This window comes from Homo sapiens, chromosome 1 (assembly GCF_000001405.40).
Source record: "Homo sapiens chromosome 1, GRCh38.p14 Primary Assembly".
Classification (NCBI taxonomy): domain Eukaryota; kingdom Metazoa; phylum Chordata; class Mammalia; order Primates; family Hominidae; genus Homo; species Homo sapiens.
Genome location: NC_000001.11, coordinates 58,102,245 through 58,124,541, shown reverse-complemented (window position 1 = coordinate 58,124,541; position 22,297 = coordinate 58,102,245). Strand labels below are relative to the sequence as shown.

Sequence of the window (22,297 nt, the reverse complement as noted above, 5' to 3'; positions counted from 1 at the left end):
AAAAAGCAGATATCAAAATATTATTTAGGTAGATCAGTGTCCTGGCAAAGCACAGTCATGCAAACACAGGCAACTCATCTTTCCCCTGACACATACAGCCCCTAAATCATTACTGAATACAGCCCAGGGTAGCCGCCAATGTTGAAAATGATGACTTGACTTTGTACACCATATTTAAGGAAGCAGTGATGAAAATAACATATTGTAAAAGAGCATTATTTTCTAATAATAACTATTTAGAGTGCTGGTGCTTAAATCTGTAATTGACCATCTTTGTTTGAGTTTATGAGTCTGGGTAAATAAGGTGTTGGGATATATATATATGTGTGTGTGTATATATATATATATAATCTAAGAATATATATATAATCTGATAGCAACTATTTTATTCCACGTGCATCCCAAATCTACTGCTACAGGATGATACCAGATAAACATGCACGCACACATACTCAAACATTTATATACATATGTACATTCACAGTAACTGAGATGCTGAGATGACAAGTTACTATGAAAACCTAGATGTTTACACTTCATGTTTTTAAAATAGTCTATATCATTTCTACAATTCATATAATTCTTAAGACACTGACTGTCTTGCACCAAAGTTGTATGTGTGTGTGTGTGTATTAGTATATGGCTTCAAACCTCTGTCTTCCTCTCACATATATAACTGCAAAGCCTGAGTCTTATAAATGATTATTTCCCTTTGCTCAGTACTGGGCACAGAGTCTCAGACATGAATTGAATAAGACTTTATTTACGAACAGAGCCAGAAGAGACATAACAAATCGATCAGTCAAATTTCTTCATTTACCAGATGGGAAATTTGGGGATCAGAGATACTAAAGGCCTGGAGATCGGACAGCTAGTAAGGGCACACCAGGGCCCTAAGCAGGCCTTTTTACTTAGCACTGTGTGATTTCACAGAACAAAGGGGAACTATATGTTCTATAGAAGGTAAATTACGAGGCTGCCTAAAATTTGGGAGCTTCGTCAAGGTAAACTGTTTTCATCTTGATAAAAGAAGAAGAGAGCTCCCAAAATACTTTTCTTTTGACCTACTTAGCTATTATTCATCTCCCTCCAACCCCTGCCCCCATCACCAATTGGAAAATCCTGCTATATAGTTTATCATTCTATCTGCAGCTCTGGATTTAAAGATGCTTTCAGATGGAGTAAGGACTTAGGAAAATGTGCCCCAGGAAGACTCTGACAGACAATGAGACCATATGGCTTCGGTACCCTATCTCTCTCAATGTTTTGACACATCCTAATCTTTGGGAAACACAGCTGGGGACAGTGGAAAGAATGAGAGGAACAGTCCCATCCTATGGAGTCTTTTCTCTCCCCATGGGCCTAAATGCTGTCATGGCGATTACTTGCCCTTGTAGTCACCAGTCAGGGGCCAGCTCTAGGAAGGGGTGAATTGTGTAACAAAGACTGGATCTCATTCACCTTCAGAATATCTCAGAAAAATAAAGGCAGACATTTCTATTCCTATTTTATTTATAGGGAAGCAGAATGAAGATAAATTAGATTTCAGGACTTTCTCACTTCTGCCACTTACTGTTCTTTTTTTCCTGATATATTCTTCTCTTGCCTTCTCTTCCTAGGAAGCTCGTACTCATTCTCTAAACCCAGCTCATGGATGAAACTTATTTCTTCCGTAGTGCAATAACTGGTACAATATTTAAACTGTTGTGCTGTGATTTATCATGTATATGTCTCTATCCTTCAGAAATGTGTTAATTTTTAATAATAATCACCAAAGCCCTGTCAACACCCTTTCCTATACAAAGACATGAAGCTCAGAGAGGTTATGTGACTTTTTCAAGATCACCTAGTGAGGAAGTGATGGGGCCAATTCTTGGACACAAGGTGGTCAGCCTCCAAAACCTATTCTCTTTACTGTGGTGTGAAAATGCATTTTTTTTTTTTACAACAAATAACCCAGTTGTGAGGATGCATTTTACCCTTGGCTAACTCCTAATACCAATAACTACTAACTCCCATTGCTATAAGGCTTTGTGATTTACAAAGCCCTTTTCCACATACATCATCTCATTTGATCCATGTAACAAAGCTGCAAGGTGGGAGTTCCTCTATGTTTTAAAGTTTATTGCTTTACAGTTCAGGAAATGGAGGCTCAAAGAAGGGACTTGCCCAAAGTCATCCTACTATTTTGAGACAGCAAATTAGCAGGAAATTAGGCCCACATCTATTAACTCCAAATCCCTTTGCCATGTTGCAACAATTAATTAGGGTCCACAGTCAGTCTAACATGCAAAGTTAATGCAATGGTGGCACTATTTCCAAATAAACTGTGCATAGTGCTTAAGATACTAAGATATTCTCTTTGGTTCCAGATGTTGCCAGACTTTTCCTCTTTTGTCCATGGTATGGTACAATAAACAGTTCTGTACATCAAAGTCAAGTGAAAGGATCCCAGGCCTCAGAGCATGATCAAGAACAGTCCCATTTGTCTTCCGTGTATTTATCATATTGTTACATGACTTGACTTGGTGCTACAGAGAGGAACTTCTCAACCTTTTAGTTTTTCTCACAATATACACAAGGCACAGAGCCATGGGAGAACTCAGGGATATGCATAGTTCTGCATGTTCTAACTTCAACTTAACTCTTTTCGCTTCTACTTAAGAAGGCAAGGAAAGGAGTGAGAAGAGTATTATTAGAGGAAAATTCCAAATCGTTTACTTATTTTGAAATATATATATATGTATGCATGTACATTCCATGCTTGGTATCTTAGAGGTAACAAATGTTTCTGACACATCTTGGAACTGATTGGGACACACCTGTGTAGTGTGTTTCACTAACAGAGAACAGAAAGTTAACAATGGTAGGGCTCACAGTTGGGTCGGGCAGGCAGACATGAAGTATTGGCTATCATTCATGACAGGATGTCCTGGTGCAGATGATCCTCATGCTGGCAGAACTAAGAAAGAGTGAGGGGTGTATTCTAATTGGGAAGATGAAACAAATTTTGAGAGAGAACTGAATCTTTGACTTGAACCTACAGGGAGAAATGATATTTACTTAGGTGGTAGGGGAAATGGAGAAATAAGATGGGAGTATCATGAACATCATAAGATTTTCTCTTGGGCCTGGGGGAAGAATGTTAAGTAGCCCTTTTACAATCAGAATAGACATTTTGGAAGAAGGAGGTAGGAAATGAGGTCTGAAAAGTAGGTAGTACTTGCATACCCTGCTACTGTGTATGGACAGTGGGAAGCCATTAAAGATTTGGCATTGGGAGTGACATGATCCAGCTCATGTTTTGGAAGGTTACTCTGGCAGCTCTGATCCTCTGGTATCTTGATGATCATAACCTGAAAAAGAACCTTGTGGCATGAAGTGGAGAAATAGAAGTGCTAGTTGATGAGCTGGGAAAAAAAATCAAAGATCCCATTTTCCTACTTGTGTCAAGTCAAATAAATGGAGCCAGATAAACGTGGAAAAAAATCAAGATAGTAGCAAAATTGCCTGGAAGCAGAATGTTTTTCAAAGTCCCTAATGAGGTGTCAGTGAACCTAACGAGATGAAACTCCCTACCCTACACCTAGTTTTTCATGCTGTCCTTTTCATCCGGTCATAATTAAGTTGTGAAATTGGAATTATATCCTATCATTAAAGACAGAGGCCACCTTCGCCTGGCTCCTGCTTCTCCAAAGAAGGTAACTGAAAAGTACCCTCTTCCATTGCTTCTTGTCTCACTTATGTTTTGATGTGGCCGCAGGTGAGGGCTACGTCATTTTAGATTTTGATTAAAAAGGGACACGTGGTTCTTCTTCATTGATTTCAGTATTGAATTCTGTCATTCTTAGTTAGGAATTATTAGGCAGCTAAAGTTGGAAGGAAAATGCCATAGTCTTTTAGTGCCATTGCCTTGTTAGAAGAAGGAAAGGGTGGACAAGGGAAGGAAGCATCTTCCGTGGGCCAGACATTGTGCAGGGTTCTCTAGGTATGTTGGTATCCCTTTGGTTTCTTAAGGGTGTTGGCATAAGAGGTAAGCATTATTCCCATGTACAGGTGTGGAAACTGAGGTTCATAGGGGTAATAAGCTTTTTATAAGGTCCCCTAACTGAGAATAGAATCCAGGCCAGGCTTATTCCAAACTCATGCTTTCTCTTCTTCGTTGTAATGAAAGATGATGACTACATTTGTATACAAACAGGGAGCACTGAGAGGGGGCTTAGATCTGTCAACTACTCCTCAATGGGTGCTTCCAGTGTCCCATGCTTTTCTAGGGCACTTTGAGGTCATTATTTATTCCTCCCAAAACCTTTTGAAGGGATATTACTTGCTACTCTTTAGGAGTGAGGAAATCGTGACTCAGAGAGTCTAAGTTATTTACCCCAAACCACACAGGAAGTCCAGATTCCACCTCACTACATTACCTTTCAAGTTGATATCTCTGCAGGACAAAATGCCTGATCACAAAAGACGAGGCCAGTAAAGGACATTTCAGGCTCTGGGACCAGCAATCAGGATGGAGAGAACTATTTGGAAGGCATATCCACTTTTCCAAATTTTGGAATGTGGGGATAGGGTGGGAAGGAAGGTGAGAGGCAGCAGAGGCTTGATCTGCACAGGGGAGCAGCTAGCTCTGTGTAGCATTAGTCTAGAGTCCCACAAGCGCATCTACGATAATGAACTTACTAAATAAATAGGAGCATCATGTCCCTTTCTCTGCAGGACTATTAAATAAACTTATTGAATAGATTCATAAAGCAATGACTGGAAACGTGGCTGCCCCAGGAAGAGGGCTGTCATGGATGCTCTGTTGTCCTATTTTCAGGCCTCTCTGCTCCCGACCTGGGGCAGCTCTGGCTATTTCTCTGCTCCAGCTTGCCTGGAGAAGGCCTGCTTTCCTCTCCAACAGCAATGAGTGGAGACTCAGGTTTCCAGGTCAGGCCCTGTTTTCTCTGCTCTGTCCATCATAGCTAGCCTGTTATAAAAATGTAAATGCAGGTCCATGATTCCCTATTTGAAACCTTAGGGGCTAGATGTGTGTCCGAAATTTAGAATGATTCAGCTCTGAGAAAGACAGGGATACATATATTACTTATTACATAATACCCCCTGCTGGGCTTGGGGCAGCACCCACAATTAAATACATTAATATTTCTGCTGTAAAACATATAACAAATAATGTAGGATGCATAACACTATAAGTAGCATTCTGTCAGTTCATGTCAGTTTGTGCCACCAAATTAGTTCAGGCCAGCTTAGATTTTGCTGCCAAATTGAATTAAGCATACACACACACACACACACACACACACACACGCACACACACACAATATTTGATTTTCAGAGCTCTTTGGATTTTATAATTCAGACAAGAGATTGCAGATAAATATTTGTTCAATGCTTGCTACTATTAAAATAGTAGTTCACATAGATTGAGTGCCTATTAAATGCCAGGTATTGTGCTGAGCAGTTTGCAAACATCTACTGCACAAGTGTATAAAAGGTTATAAGAAATTTAGCTGTTTGATGGTACTATCAAGAGCTTGATAGCTATGTATGGCTAATGGCTAGTATTGAACTAGTCACATGTGCCTAGTGGCTAGCTTACTGGATGGAACATTTCCATCAGAGCAGAAAGTTCGATTGGACAGCACTGGTGTGTAGGCTGTATTGTGTAGTGGTTATGAGCATGGGTTCTGGAGCTGTACTGCCCAGCACTGCTATTTCCGAGGTATGTGGTCTTTGTCAATTTTTCTTTACCTGTTGGTGCCTCAGTTTTCTTGTCTGTAAAAAGAGGATAAAAATAGTTCCTACTTCATTTGTGGTTATGAGGATTAAATGAGTTTATGAGGATATATATATGTATATATATGTACACTCATATGTATTGCTACAGGATCTTTATATATATATGTATTTTATATATATATATGTATATATATATAGTATTTTATATATATATGTATATATATATATGTATTTTATATATATGTATATATATGTATTTTATATATATATATGTGTGTGTGTGTGTGTGTATATATATATATATATATATATATATATATATATGCCTTAGGATAGTGCCTGGCATCATGAAGTTATCTCCTATAAGTATTATCTAGTATGATTATTATTAAAGATGAGGAAGTCAAAGCATAGAGAGATGGTTTTAACTCCACCTCCCAAGTCTTTGCTCTTAAGCTGAATGCGCTATAGCCTATTCTAACAAATGTCTGGGTCATCTCTACTCCTGTGTTGCTGAATGAGTGAGTGAGTGAGTGAATGAGGGAGTCTGAGAACACTGACCTAGAAGACAAGAACAAGGCCTGACCGGGTGCGGTGGCCCACTCCTGTAATTCTAGCACTTTGGAAGGCCAAGCCAAGAGGATTGCTTGAGCCCAGGAGTTCAAGACCAGCCTGGGCAATGTAAGGAGACATTGTCTCTACAAAACATTAAAAAAATAATAAGTTAGCAGGCATGGTGGCACATGTCTGTGATCCCAGCTACTCAGGAGGCTGAGGTAGGAGATCACTTGAGCCTGGGAAGTCGAGGCTATAGTGAGCCATGATTGCACCACTGCAGCACTCTAGCCTGGGTGACAGAGTGAGATCTTGTCCCCCGCCCCAAGAAAGAGCAATGTCTGTACCCCCACCTGGCCCAGAAAAAAAATATTAAAAAAAATATAAAAAAAAAAACAAAGCATGATATCTGGTCTTTAGGGTCAGCCTCAGATGTTGAAGCACACAGTGAAGCATGGCTATCCTTTATTGACTCAATTCATATCTTTTACTTGTTTCATTTTCCCGTTTCTAATCTTAATTTTTAAAAATCAGCCATAACAAGGCTACCATAAGGCATCAAACTTGCCTTCAGGACTATATATTTGGGATAATATGTTGATGCTTCATTGATTCTGTGTGACAGCGGTAGAAACAGAAAGACAGTGGAATCAAAGCTGCTGGTTTGAAGCCACGCAATGAAGCGTCAGATCATTTGGGAAAGAGGTCCCTGATGGAAGTGCCAGGATTTGGACATGAGCAATACCTGGTGTGGAAAGAGGTGGCAGTGTTTGCTGCAGGAGCTTCAGGCATGGAGTCAGATGGAATTAGGTCAGTCCTGAACCTAATATGGGCAACCATATCATATCACTTAAGCTTTTTGAGACTGTTTATCATCTGCAACATGGAATAATTATTCTGATTCTGCCTCTTTCACATATTGTCCTGAAGAACAAATGCAAACTAGAGTAAGACACTGTTAATTATAAAGTACTGGGCATGCATAAGTAACTTACTAGTACAGGCAACACGTTTCTTTTGGTAGGCAGGGAAGCCTCTGAGCTTTGGGAGAGGCAAATAGAAATATCCGGTGTGCATTAGTTGCTGAGATTGCTTAGTAAATGATACTCATCATTTTTGTGTGAGTGGCAGAAACAATACTGTAACATATGAGCTATTAATATTCACCAATAGATGAACAGAGCATTTTTGAGGAGCAAATGAGTATGCCAGCATTGACACTGCTCTTTTTGGGCTTTCTGAAAAGAAGGCTTAGAAGTCCACTCGCAAAGACAATACCTGTTAGGTTGTCCTTTGTGTTCTTTATAAAGTCATTTAGGATTTTGTGCCAATAAGAACCATCCCTTGTGTAACTTGTATTTTTTAATCAAAAAATGAGTTATGTCATCATTATTTTCTTTTTTGCCCTGGCAGCTAGCAAGCTTATGTTTTAATGCTTGCTTGCAGCTGTTACCTTATTCTTTTTTCATGATGTTTCAGAATTAAAGAACTGAATTATAGAGTGAAAAACTAGGAAGAAAGAATAGAGATTGAAGTCTAGCTTCTTTATTTTACAGAGGAAGAAATGGAAAATCTAGAGAGAGCAAGAGGAATGCTCAGGGACAGAGAGCCAGTCAGTGGTGGAACCAGGACTAGAATTGCTATCTCTGACTCACAGTCCACTCATCAGGCAAATCCTATTTAAAAGATACATGGCAAACATTGAAGAAGATCAAGGAAGTTAGATGAGTCTGATGTATATTGGAAGCACTTGATGAGGCCATTCACTATATGGATGGATTTGCTAGCAGATCCTGGAATACTTAAGGCCCTTGGCTACTGTATCAATTAGGAATGTGTGTAGCAACAAATCATAAACTCCCAATTTATAGTGGCTTAAACAAATAGTGCTTTTCTTTTCCTCACCTAAGAAGAAGTCCAGATATAGGCAGTTGTTAGCATTGGTTTAATTGTTCAAAGATGCTTCCAGGAACATAGCCTCTTTCTATCATTCTACTTCTTATTCACAAAGTGGTTGCCTCAGTGCCAGGCATTGTATTACTTTCCAGGAAGGAAGAAGGAGAAAAAGCTAAAGCTAAAGCTTTCTTAGAATTTTTTCAGCAGACTTCTACTTCCATTTAATTATTTAAAACTGTGTCACCTGGCCACAGTTAACTTCAAGGCAGGTTGACAAACTGAGTAATTTATTTATTTTTTTTTATTTTTATTTTTTTTGTATAGATGAATTGTTTAATATTAATTTTTTTTTTTTTTATACTCTAAGTTTTAGGGTACATGTGCACATTGTGCAGGTTAGTTACATATGTATACATGTGCCATGCTGGTGCGCTGCACCCACTAATGTGTCATCTAGCATTAGGTATATCTCCCAATGCTATCCCTCCCCCCTCCCCCGACCCCACCACAGTCCCCAGAGTGTGATATTCCCCTTCCTGTGTCCATGTGATCTCATTGTTCAATTCCCACCTATGAGTGAGAATATGCGGTGTTTGGTTTTTTGTTCTTGCGATAGTTTACTGAGAATGATGGTTTCCAGTTTCATCCATGTCCCTACAAAGGATATGAACTCATCATTTTTTATGGCTGCATAGTATTCCATGGTGTATATGTGCCACATTTTCTTAATCCAGTCTATCATTGTTGGACATTTGGGTTGGTTCCAAGTCTTTGCTATTGTGAATAGTGCCGCAATAAACATACGTGTGCATGTGTCTTTATAGCAGCATGATTTATACTCATTTGGGTATATACCCAGTAATGGGATGGCTGGGTCAAATGGTATTTCTAGTTCTAGATCCCTGAGGAATCGCCACACTGACTTCCACAATGGTTGAACTAGTTTACAGTCCCACCAACGGTGTAAAAGTGTTCCTATTTCTCCACATCCTCTCCAGCACCTGTTGTTTCCTGACTTTTTAATGATTGCCATTCTAACTGGTGTGAGATGATATCTCATAGTGGTTTTGATTTGCATTTCTCTGATGGCCAGTGATGATGAGCATTTCTTCATGTGTTTTTTGGCTGCATAAATGTCTTCTTTTGAGAAGTGTCTGTTCATGTCCTTCGCCCACTTTTTGATGGGGTTGTTTGTTTTTTTGTTGTAAATTTGTTTGAGTTCATTGTAGATTCTGGATATTAGCCCTTTGTCAGATGAGTAGGTTGCGAAAATTTTCTCCCATGTTGTAGGTTGCCTGTTCACTCTGATGGTAGTTTCTTTTGCTGTGCAGAAGCTCTTTAGTTTAATTAGATCCCATTTGTCAATTTTGTCTTCTGTTGCCATTGCTTTTGGAGTAATTTAACTTTCTAGCTTCTATCACTGGAGTGACATTAATTTTTTTTAACAAATGATGGGCGGGGCACAGACATAATCCAATCACAGTGGATGCCAACCATGAGCAACTGGCACAGTTGTAACAATACACACTGATTGAATATCAGCCTTGCTTATTGTAGGGGATGACGAGGGAGAAGAGGATTAAGGGCAGGTGTTGGCAGAGTCTTTGCAGTGTCTGCTGCTGTAAAATGTTCTACGTCAGGGTCAGCAAAGGATCAATAGTATGTGTTTTACACTTTGTGGCTTTATAGTCTCTGTTGCAGTTACTCTACTTTGCCATTGTTTTGTACAAGCAGCCATAGACACTACTTAAATAAATGGGCATAACAGTATTCCAATAAAACTTTACAGGAAGCCAGATTTGGCCTCTGGGCCATAGTTTGATGACCCCTGTTGTACATCCATCTCCATGTTAGGGATGTCCTGGCAATGAGACTGGAATGCAGGGTTGGTTATGTCTACCTATCTCTCTCAATGTTATCCAAAGGGTCATTGCCAACATTTTTTTGTTCGGGACTAGATAATCCTCCTTCCTGCATATGGATGAGAATGGATAGGAAGCCATTTCTTTCTCCTTCAGGAGGCTCTACATATGGTTACCTATCATTAATGATGATGTGGAAATTAACTTTTTTTCTTTTTTGAGATGGAGTCTCTCTCTGTTGCCCAGGCTGTAGTGCAGTGGCTTGATCTCAGCTCACTGCAACCTCCACCACCTCCCAGGTTCAAATGATTCTCCTGCCTCAGCCTCTTGAGTAGCTGGGATTACAGGCATGTGCCACCATGCCCAGGTAATTTTTTTTTTTTTTTTTTGTATTTTAGTAATTACGGGGTTTCACTCTGTTGGCCAGGCTGGTCTCGAACTCCTGACCTCAAGTAATCCGCCCACCTGGACCTCCCAAAGTGCTGGAATTACAGGTGTGAGCCATTGTACCTGGCCAGAAATTAACTTATAAGAGAGCAATCTTGTGTCTCTCACTTTGGGGGGGCACCTTCCTATATTATTCAAATATTTTCATCAAGAACAGTTATAATGCTTGGGAGATTAAATAAAATCATGATTGTGAAAGTGCTTTGTGAGCTCCAGAGCTGTACACAAAACTCCTACTGAAAACAGCCTTCCTCTCTGCAGATGCTCCCCGTACTTCAAGGACCTTCTATACTTTCCAAACACTGCACAAATTTCCTGGCATCAAATCTGCCCCTATTTGAGCTCCCCTTATCTTTCCTGCAGCAGCACAGTCTGCTTAGGGAGTGTGTTAATTACCACAATAGGGTCATTGAAGTTAGCTCTTCGTTTACAAAAACCCTCCAGGGATTCCAGTACACAAACACATGCCCACACTCATACACACACTCTCATTACACAGAAGTTTTTTTTGCCATTTGTGCTTCAGCTTTTGACAACAGATACTTTTATGATGGCAGAGTGGAAGATGCAGCTGAAAAGCTGGAACTTGGAGGAATCCGAAGTTTGCTAATGGCAAATGATACAGGCCTGTGTCAGTCAGTGGAGGAATTCGGGAAGGACACCATTCACCTGGGCATCACGAGCCACCAGGTTGCCCAAACCAGAATCCTTGGTACCATCTTTAACATGTCCCTCTCCCACGCACCCTCCAACCAATCAACAGCTCGGTCCTGTCTGGCCAGAATCCTGCCCATCATCTCATCTCCTTGCAAAATCCTCCTCATTCTCCACTCAGTCTGGGCATCATGTCTTCCAGGAAGCATTTCCTGACTTCTTGTGCCTGTTTCTGGCACCCTCCTCTGTGCCACGATCCTTTTGCAGCCCTCACCCTTCTGCTCTATAATTGCATGTTTGTCTGTTTCTCCCACTGGGCTGCAGGGTCTGTAAGGACAGAAAACATATGTGTCTTACTCATCTTCTATGCCCAACATGGTGAGTGCCACTTAACAAGAATTCAGTCAACATTCTATCCATTCATCTTCTCACAGGAAGCATTGTGTCTCAGAGCTGTGGCTTTTCTTTATCTTTAAAATCTTCAGGGAAGAGTGTCCCCACAGCCTTCCAGAGGCTTCCATTTTCTGCGTGGGGCATCATATTTACATCACACCACCCACTTGACAGGATCATGTACTTTAGGAGCATGTATGTGGTGCTTCATAAAATATGCCTGGCTGAAGGATTTTTAGAAAATTGTTCATGACATTTTCATTCATCATTCATTTAGGAAACATGTATTGAGTGCCTACTATGTGCTGAGCACTGAATTAGGACCTATGGTTTCCATGAAGAGTGACACAGAAATCAAACTATCATCCATGTGCTTTATGTGCCAGGCATTTTTTGCTAGAAACATATTGAAAGTTTCATTTAATCTTTGATATGCATCTTTGAGGTGCCTATCATTGTCTCCATTTTACTGGAGAGAAAATAGTCTCAGGTTTGGGATTACACAGCTGGGAGTTGAAAGAGTATAAAACATAGTCTCTGCTTTCAAAGAACTAATAGTTTAATTGGGAAAACATCTATTCATGCAGTTATTAATTCAAAAATGTATTTATTGAATGCCTATTTTATACTTGGCACTGTTATAGATTCTTTGCATATGGCCCTGAACAAGGCAAACAAGGTCATTGCTCTTAAGGAACTTTCATTCTTCAGAACAGGAGGGAGGCAATAAATAAGTTAACATATATGTGAGGAAATACTTTCCAACTGGAATGAGTAAAAGGGTGAGTGGGGATTGGAGGGGCTCCTCCAGTTGGAGTGGTCAGGGACAGGCTTCTTAAGGAGATGATGCCTGAGCTGAAACCTGCAGGGTGACAGTGACATGAGGGCCTGAGGGTGGAGAATGCTGGACAGAGGAAATAGTAGGTGCCAAGGCATTGCCACTGGGGGATAGGGAGAAAGGGTGCAAGTGACATGACAGAGTTAGACGGATGGTGTAGGTCGAGGTTTGTGTAAGGCCTTGGAGGCCATTATAAGGCTTTTGGATTTAATCTAAGTGCAGTAGATCATTACTGTAGCATCTTAAGCCATCAAGGAACTGGTACAACTTCCTAAAAACTAAACTTCTGGCTACTTTGTGGAGAAAGGATTATAGTAAGAGCAAGAAGGGAACCATGGAGGGCAGTTCAGAGCTGAGAGAGAGAGAGAATGATATTGATAGTTGTGGCTTGTATTAGGGCAGCCACAGAGGAAGTGGAGACAAGTGGATAGATCTAGGATGGAACAAAAGAGATAGAACTCAGATAAGAGCAGCAGGCGCAGTGATATGAGAACAGGACTTACTGTGGTACAAAGAAAAAGAACAGAGAAAGACATTTCCTCATTCTCTGATCCAACGTTTCCCAAAATGTGTTCCAAGTAAACACCATGTGCTGTGGAATGCTAAAAGTTGCTCTTGGAAAAAATATCAAATCCCTTTATTAAAAAATAATCTGGACAATACTGCATTCTGTATTGCAGAGGGATCATGAGCAAATAGCATATTCAAGGCTCTAGAAAACTCAGTAATGAAATCAATTTAGCTTTAATGTGGCTTTTCTCAAGTTTACTTGATTCCCAAAATCCTTTTTCACAGAACATCTTGTGCTGCTCTAGCATTTCATGGAGAAGGTTCAATGGGACAGAATGATCTAGAACAACATTCTTATTTGATTTGTGGCCAGATATGGCCCAGAGAGGAGAAGTAACTTGCCTGAGATTACACAGCTATGTGGAAGCAGAGTCTGGAAGAAATTCTAGCTTCTCTTGACTTCAGACACACTGTTTCTCCTACGCTAGGGTGCCATCTGAATTTGCAGAGACTTGTGCTATTTGTATTGATATGGTCTTGACTACAAATAACATACACCTCCACCCACTGCACAAAGAAAGCATTCTGCTGCACACACCACCCTCCCAGAAGGGCCCTAACTCAGAAATAGTGATGCACAATTCCCTGGCCAAGGTGTCAGGCTTATAAATTCTTACCCTAATGAAGAAAAGAGAGTTGTAAAAACTGCACACTGTGAGAAATGCAACAGTCTGGTGGCCTGAGGAGTTGAGGTACTATTGAAATATGTTTGCAAACTTAACTCCCCAGCAACTTCCTAAATAATAATGGGCTATAATGAAGTGATAACTAACATGAAGTCTAGACTCAGCAAAAACAAACCAGAAAGATTTTATATTCTAAGTTAGCAGAGATGCAACTTGATTGTAGTTCTTGATAAGCTCATGGGGGACCTGCCCATTGTTGCAAAGGATAAAGAGTGCCTCTCTGCTTTCTGGCTGCAGGACAAAGAGAGTGTGTTCTAGGATCAGATTTGAATCCAGGTTTTGCTATCACCTAGCTGGACAATAATGTGTGAGTGTTTTAACTTCTCTGGCCTCAATTTCTTCTTGTGAGATGGAGGTAAAGATGTCCTTGCAGGGCTGACACAAAAAGTAAATCAAATAATGTATGTCAGATACCTAGCCTGGTTGACTCAAGCTAGGTGCTCAGTAAATAAGAGCTGTTAGAATTATCAGTTAGTTTTTCCTTAACATCAATCATATCATTCTGATAGCATTTGCTACACATGACCTTGATGTTCAGCTTTTTGTTCACTTATTATTGGTGAAGACACTTTTAGTTGAAAATGACAGAATCCCACTTTGAACTAAGGTAAAAAAAAAGTATTGTGTTTTGCTTATTTGTTTTTTGAAAATATTAGATTGCTTTATGCCATTGTGACAAGGGCCACTGTGTGTAGTTTGGCTTCAGGGACAATTAGAATTAAGGGCTCAAATAAAGCCACAATTCTCCCTGACTCTGTGTCTTAATATTCTGTGGTCAGCTTCCTGAATGTGGAGAAGAATGGCTACCAACAATCCTTAAGGACACAACTGTAAGTTTTAAAGTTCTAGGGAGAGTCCCTGATTGGCCCAGAATGGGCCATCCCTGGACCAGGACCAATCAACCATGACCAGGTTGGGTAAACCTGTAAGAACATATGAGCATCTATTCATATCACATATCACAGTGTAGGAGAGAAGGATTACTAGGGAGAAGGCTTCAGACATGGAGTGGGGGCAGTGGTGGGCAGATCAAAAAATATTTATCTCCAAAACCTCCCCTTCTCTGCAGGAGATCTAGTAGGCAGCTGCTCTTTTTGCTTATTCAGCTTCCATTCCACCTCACTTTGTTTACTATACCCCCTTTGCCATTGGAGAAGTACCCCACTTCTTGCCGTGTGCTTTGGCTGGGAGTGTAACTCATCCTTCCTTGCCATCAGCCCATCCATAGCCTTACGCCCTTGGCCCACGTGAGTATGATGCAAGCTGGACAAATCAGACTCTAGCTTTTTTTAGGCTACTAAAAATACAAAGAGTGTTTGGTTTTTGAGAGGAATGACACCTGGGCTAGAGCAAAGTCATTCTGCTGACAGGCTTACGGAGTTGATCCATTAGTTCTCCTCACCAAGATCCCTAGAGCCTCCTGGCTCTTTCTTGCCTGAAGTCCGATTATTCAATTCTCTGATCCATTCTAGAGCTACCCTGAGTGATCTAGCAAATCCTGCTACTTGTTTAAGTCTGTTGGTGCTGGTTTCTGTTGCTTGCACCCAAAGATTCTTAACAGATGCAGGCAGAGGCCTGACCCTATTCACGTTAGTTCTTTCATGCCTCACACTGAGCCCACCTGGTATGCATATGCTCACAAAACATGTGTTAGACCTGGTGACTGCATAAATTCCTTTCATTTATTTCTCTCCAAATCTCCTGTCCCCTTTCTTCAAAGAGAATTCTAGATCAAACCCCATATGTGAAGCAGTTAAAAGGCTGAATTACTTGGGTGAGGAAAGCCCCAACACTAAAAGTTTAGGTTCCACCTTGTTTTTTAATAACATTTAAGGAAGCTCGGTGGTGTCTGGAACACAGTTTGAAAATCTTCAGACTTGAAGGTATTTCAGGTACTTTCCAATGCCTGAGTTGCCTTTGAATCTTGAGTGTGTCATCTTCTTTCAACCAGACTGTTCTCTGCATCTCAAGACTATTCCATTTGAGGCCCCAAAAGACACCTCTCTCTAAACTAGTATCTCTACTTAAGAGTGCTGTCAGTCTCATTCTCAGCTCAGTGTTTTACGTGTACTTGTCACTGGAGTATTCCATACTATTTGGGGCATCTGTATGTCATTAAGCATAAGGCAGCACAGGTTAATTGAAATTGTTATTTTTGGAATTGAAATTTTTTTAATTAATTGAAGCCATTCCCCAGAATAAAAATGTCATTTGCTTTGGAGCTCATAGCAGTGGCAATAAAAACTTAGTGCACATTGAGAGCACTGGTTCTCAAATGCATATTCCCGGGCACCATCTCTGAAGATGTGGGTTTAGTAAGGTTCCAATGGGTCTTAGGAATCTGCATTTGTGAAATAAAGAAAATAACTTTGCCACCATCATCAAGTTGTTTTCATTTCTAAATATGGTAGTATATTTAAGTTCTTAGTCGAGTACCTGGCTTCATCAGAAGCACTTGGTAAGTAAATCCACTATTGTTAGTTTTGTTCATGATATGGTTTCCAGTAGGCTCATTCAGTATGGATCCAAGCACTCACTGAAAGTAACAACCAGCCCTAAGGGTGGTATCTCTCAATTCTGTCTATCCCCACCTCTACTACATTAGTTCAACTTCACCCTCATCTCACACCTGTGACATTACCAGGGCCCTCCCTACAGCTTCAGTCTCCTCTGTTTGGGCTCATTCTCAAAAGAGTAGTGAGAATTATTTTACTAAAGCTCAAATCTGAGAGTTTTACCTTCTGCTGAAAATCCCGCCAGGGCTCCCCCTTGCTCTCAGAATGAAGTCTCAATTTCTCACCAGTGCTGTGTGCAGCCAGACTCATGAGTTCCTCTCTCACAGCAACTTTCTCTCTACTTCTCTTGCTGTCCATTGTCCAGTCCCCCTGAACAAACTGTGGGTCCTTCAGATTTCCCCATTCATTTTCCTCCCAGGTTTTGCCCATTTTTTTCCCTGTGTTTAAAACATGCTAGCTTGGCTGGGTGCAGTGGCTCACACCTGTAATCCCAGCACTTTGAGAGGCCAAGGTGGGTGGATCATCTGAGGTCAGGAGTTCAAGATCAGCCTGACCAACATGGAGAAACCCCGGCTGTACTAAAAATATAAAAATCAGCTGGGCGTGGTGGCAGGCACCTGTAATCCCAGGTACTTTGGAGGCTGAGGCTGGAGAATCACTTGAACCCGGGAGGCAGAGGTTGCAGTGAGCTGAGATTGCACCACTGCACTTCAGCATGGGTGACAAGAGCAAAACTCCATCTCAAAAACAAAACAAAAACAAAAACAAAAACAGAAAAAAAACATGCTAGCTTCCCTTTGGCCTGGCCAAAGGCTCTTCAGGTTTCTTTCTGGCTGTTCTGTGAAACCCTCCCTGGCACCCTGACTGCTAGGTTAGATTACTTTTTTTAGATTTTTTTTTTTTTTTTGGAGATGGAGTCTTGCTGTCACCCAGGTTGGAGTGCAGTGGCACGATCTCTGCTCACTGCAAACTCCGCCTCCTGGATTCAAGCGATTCTCCTGCTTCAGCCTCCCGAGTAGCGGGGATTACAGGTGCCCACCACCACGCCCAGCTACTTTTTTTTTTTTTTTTTTGTATTTTTAGTAGAGGGGGGTTTCATCATGTTAGCCAAGCTGATCTCAAACTCCTGAACTTGTGATCCACCTACCTCAGCCTCCCAAAGTGCTGGGATAACAGACGTGAGCCACTGCACCCGGCCCTTTTTATAGACTTTTACTGCATCCCATATCTCTATGTCCTAGCACTTATCACACTATATTGAAATTATCTGGCTATTTTTCTGGGTTTTTTTTTACTAGCTATTAAGCTCCAGGAGGCTGGGACTATGTTATTAACACCCTTTAATCTTCAGGGCCCAGCATAATGCCCAGCACATAGTAGATGTAGATGCTCAATAAATGCTTTAGAAGGAGGGAAAGAAAGAAAAAATAAAGGAAACAAGGAAGGAAGGAAGGAAAGGAGGAGGAAGGAAGGAGGGAGAGAGGAAGGGAAGGAGAAAGGGAAGGAGGAAGGAGGGAGGGAGGGAGGGAGGGATGAAGGAGGGAGGGAGGGAAGGCAATTTATTTCAGCTGGGCCCTAAACAGTGATGGAAGGCACAGAATATAGATTCAGCTCTATAGAGAAAAGAATTCATAAGACTTAGGTGGAGTCATGGTCTCAGTAAGATGGCTTAGTTCAAGGCTGGCCTCTCTCCTGGAAGACATCTACAACGTATGAGAAGGAGCACGGGATCCAAGTCATAAAGCCACAATTTCAGTGTTGCAACCCTATCGCTGAAAGCTCCCTGGGGTTGGCAAGTCACTTCATTTTCTGGGTCTTCAGTGTCTGATTTTAAAAATGGAGCTAATCATATCTACTCCAAATACTTTTATTGGGATTAAATAGGAAACCACTGGACAGGCACAAAGGCTCATGCCTGTATTTCCAACACTTTGGAAGGCTGAGGTAGGAGGATCCCTTGAGCCCAAGAGTTCAAGACCAGCCTGGGCAACATAATGAGACCCTGTCTCTACCAAAAACTTTTTTAAAAATTAGCTGGGTGTGGTGGTGTGTGTGCATGTAGTCCTAGATACTTCAGAGGCTGAGGCAGGAGGATTACCCGAATCCAGGAACTTGAGTCTGCAGTGAGCCATGATCCTACCACTGCACTCCAGCCTGGGCAACAGAGCGAGACTCAGTTTCTATGAAAGAGAGAGAGAAAGAGGAAGAAAGGAAAGAAAGAAAGAAAGAAAAGAAAGAAAGAGAAAGAAAAGAAGGAAGAAAGAAAAGGAAGGAAGGAAGGAAGGAAGGAAGGAAAACAAAAAACAAAAAACCAAAACAACAACACTATATTTTAAAATGTGTTGGAAAATTCTTTGCAAAGATATGTTCTTTGCCAGAACATAAGCTCCTTGAGGGATTTAACGTGAGCCATTTCTGTATTCCCAGTGCCAGGCCCATCATAAATGCTAAATGAAGTTTTGTTGAATAAATGAATGAATAAATAAGAGGATGACTGAATGGAGAGGAAAAGTGCTGGTTACGTGAACTAAGCAAATGGCAGAGAGGCTCAGAATTGCCTTTTTGGAGTGAGTTGCTTATACATGTTTCTCTTTCCTGCTGCATGGATAGTTTCTTGAAGTGGGGGGACTTTTTCTTACTTTCCTCATTATTCCTAAGTGCCTTGCACAGCCTTAGTCAGCATTTGATGAAACACTTAGGAATTTGAAGTGAATTTGTGCAACATTTTATAGTTTCCCAGTGGGTTGAAGCAGGTATGTATCATCATCGACATTTCATAAATGAGGAACCTGAAGTACAGAGATGTTTTGATGAACTCCTCATGTTTGCATCGATAGTAGGGGGCCAATTCAAGACTAGAACCCAAGTCTTCTCATTCTTAATCCAGTGCTTTTTCCCACCAGCCTCTTTGTTTGCTGGCGTCTCTCGTCAGCAGTATTTCTGATATGAAATGATGCATGCGGGCACCCAGCACATGGGGGCCCTAAAGCAATGGCAGCCCTTGTATTTATGGGCAATAAAGAGCTCCAGCAAGGAAGGTCCTTCTAATGGGTGCCGATGAGTGTTTACAGATGGGGTCTTGCTTTTAACTGAACAAGACCTAATTTTAAAATGCATTCAATTATTCTTAAGCCCAGAAGGCATTTAGAAATGACTGTTGCTAACCACCAAAACGAGGAACTGTTCTGTGACCTTTAGACTCTGCCTTCTTCAGCAGCCATCTTTTGCAGGGCTTGATCTCACATGGGAGTGCCAAAGCACAAAATTTATGGAGTCCTCAGAGTTTTTGTGGTCGCAAATCACAAGACTTTATCAAACAGAAAGGGAAGTTTGCCTTAGAGGGTGAGAACATACTTTTCAGACATAGCGATGGGAATACAAACAGGCCAATTCAATTTCTTTTGGGGTCATGGTTTGTAGCTTTATTGAATGTGCGACATTCCCTTTTTGAAAGTCCATAGGATGTTTTCACTTCAGAGAATAATTTCCACATCCCATTCGACACCAAGAAATGGGTAATTATTATATCACTTGGTGATTATTTATCACAGTTTGAATGAAAATAAATTGCTTCAAAGTGAAATCACATTACATGGTTACCTGTCTGCCCTATTAATTTTTCATTTAATTTTCTTTATTTTAATGTGCATACAAATGTTTGTGAGCTATCTCATCTGTCTCCCTCATAATTCCCTCCAATGGATTTAAATATGTTAAGAGAAATTAAATAAATAGGTTAAAGGAAGGCTCGGGATTTGGGAAATGGGGGTTTAGCTGAGAGTGGTAATTTGTTTCTGAACCGGCTGTCTCACTTCCTGTGGAACAGAAGCACACTGGAAAATTTAAAAAAATTGGGGAAAACACATGTATATTCCTACCATAGACCAGCTAGTTAGGGTACAAGTGTTGATTACTATATTTTCTGGATCCAGCAGTATCCACAGTGCCCACACTGGCAGTTTTCACCAGTGATTTCATTTCCACTAATAAAATCCACAGAACAGCACCGCTTTTCTCTCACCCTAAGAGTATGAAATCAGTCTTCCCTGAGCCTCCCCATTTCCACCTTAATCCTCCAAAGTCTGAAAATCTAGTTGAAAGGACTTGTCCAATTCAGTTTGATAAATACTAATTGAGGGTCCACTGTGTGCTAGAGGTTGGGATTTGGAAGTCCTTTCCCTCGGGGCTTCACCACCCGGTGGGGAGGCTTCTCTGGTGCATTTCCCTCTCTGTGCCTGGCACACTGCTATATGTATGTGATGAAACAGGGACAGGTTTCTTAGCAGCTGTTGGAGAATCCTTCTTAGAAATAGGTCCTCTTTATTGGGAATATCTTCTAGAAAAAGACTTCTTGGAGCAGAAGCTGATTCTTCAAAGGATCTGAAGGTGGGAACTGCTGACCTGGGATGTGAGGAGGGGTTTGTTGTTGCCCTTGAGTGGGAGGAAAAGTGAAAGGGTGAAGGAGTCAAGACATGACCTCCACGAAGAAAATGTACAAGCAAGTTACTAGGACTCAATTTGACAAGGAATGGAGTCATTGGAGGAATGGACAAAAAGACTGGCCCAAGGAAGAACAGAGACAGGGTGGAAGTTTGGGAGCATGAGGCAGGGCCCAAACTTGAGCAATGCAAGTAAGGCACTAATCTCCAGGGCAAAACTTAAGGGGATACTAACACCCAGTCATCAAGGTAAGTTAATACTCAATGCAATATTGTAAAAAATCAAAATTAAAGTCAGCAGTGTCAGAATGAACGCATTATCAAAAATGGAAATGGTGACAAGATCAGTAACAGTGCAGTATGGAGCCATACTGGAGCCTGAGGCAAAGAAAATCAGTCAGTCATACTGGTTCCTGTCTTTATTTAAATATTTAAACATTTAAATTTTGTTTTCAGTAGACTTCATTGAACCACAACCATGCCCATTCATTTTATTAATATGGGTATGGGTAGCCTTCGTGCTACGAAGACAAAGGTTGAGTAGTTGCAACAGAGTATATGGCCCACAAAACCTAGACTGTTTACACCCAGGCCCTTTACGGAGAAAGTTTTCCACCCTGTGTACTAGATAATCACTGGGATCCTCTCTGGTTCTGATACTTGCAAATTGTGTTTTCAGTTTTTTTATAGTAAGTTACTTTTGATGCAAGATGGGCTGTAGCCTTTGATGGTATTTTATTTTATGCTTTGTAAACATTTCATTTTGTATTAAAGTACATAAACTTTAATAGAGGTGCATTACCACGTATCGGGTGCCGCAGGAAGTCTTGGATGATAGCTTGGTACATGCATCCCTGTCTCTCCTCTCCCCTCCTGAACTGTGAGCTGGCATATAGTAGGCAGGGGTCCAGAATGGTGGACACCCCATAAGATCCAAACAGTTCTATCCAGTGAAGTACCCACCCTCAAATGGCAGTAGAGCCTCTTGGAAAAACACAGACAGACCCTCTGTTCCTGAAGGTAAGCCCTGTCCCTTGCCTTTATCTACTGCCAATTTTTGCATTTTCCTGAGGTTACTGTAAAATTCTACTCTGCATAATGTTGTCCCACTTTATTGGAAATGCTAGCTTCAGACAATGTGAAAATGATTGGTCGAGAGGCTTTGAATGATACTTACCAAGCTTTTCAGTACATTTTTTATCACATAGCATATATTCTAATTCATTAAATTCATTAAAAGAAAAAGGTGGGTGAGAATATGGGCAGCTTCCTATTCCCATTGTTATTTACAAAGCAGGTTTTTATTGTTCCAGTAAGAAAAAAATATTTTGGCAAGATGACATCTCTACTTTCTCTGGAAAAGTCCTCTTAAGGAATGCTATCATCTAAGATCTTGATATAAAAATAGCATTTGACCATCTCTGGATTAGAAAATATGGATTCAGGAGAAACCACCTCATCAGAGTTGGTTCCAGGACCATGGGGTAAGCAACAGGTTGGTTCTTGGTGTCTCCATTCCAGCAACCAGTTTCACTCTGAAGCTGCTTCCCCTCTAGAGAACTAAGTGCTCTCCGGGGTACAGCTTGATCACACTCTCTTTCTCCCACTTTATCTTCTCATTTCCCTCCTTTCCTCTCCCCATCAGACTACCTTTTCCTAGGTCCTATTCAACAGGACAGGAATGCATACTGTG

General features: G+C 40.9%; 1 protein-coding gene across 4 annotated transcripts in view, besides 2 other annotated features; it reads left to right on the top strand.

Annotated features, from left to right (window-relative positions):
- The window catches only part of DAB1 (DAB adaptor protein 1), a 1,551,949-nt gene that overhangs the window by 422,185 nt on the left and 1,107,467 nt on the right, over nucleotides 1–22,297 (top strand). The window lies entirely within an intron of this gene.
- Nucleotides 16,249–16,478: an enhancer, noted in NCBI's record as "active region_1082". NCBI's record gives its function as "activates an Ori minimal core promoter by ATAC-STARR-seq in GM12878 lymphoblastoid cells {active_cell/tissue: GM12878}" and the evidence as "EXISTENCE:reporter gene assay evidence [ECO:0000049][PMID:35858748]".
- Nucleotides 16,669–16,818: an enhancer, noted in NCBI's record as "active region_1081". NCBI's record gives its function as "activates an Ori minimal core promoter by ATAC-STARR-seq in GM12878 lymphoblastoid cells {active_cell/tissue: GM12878}" and the evidence as "EXISTENCE:reporter gene assay evidence [ECO:0000049][PMID:35858748]".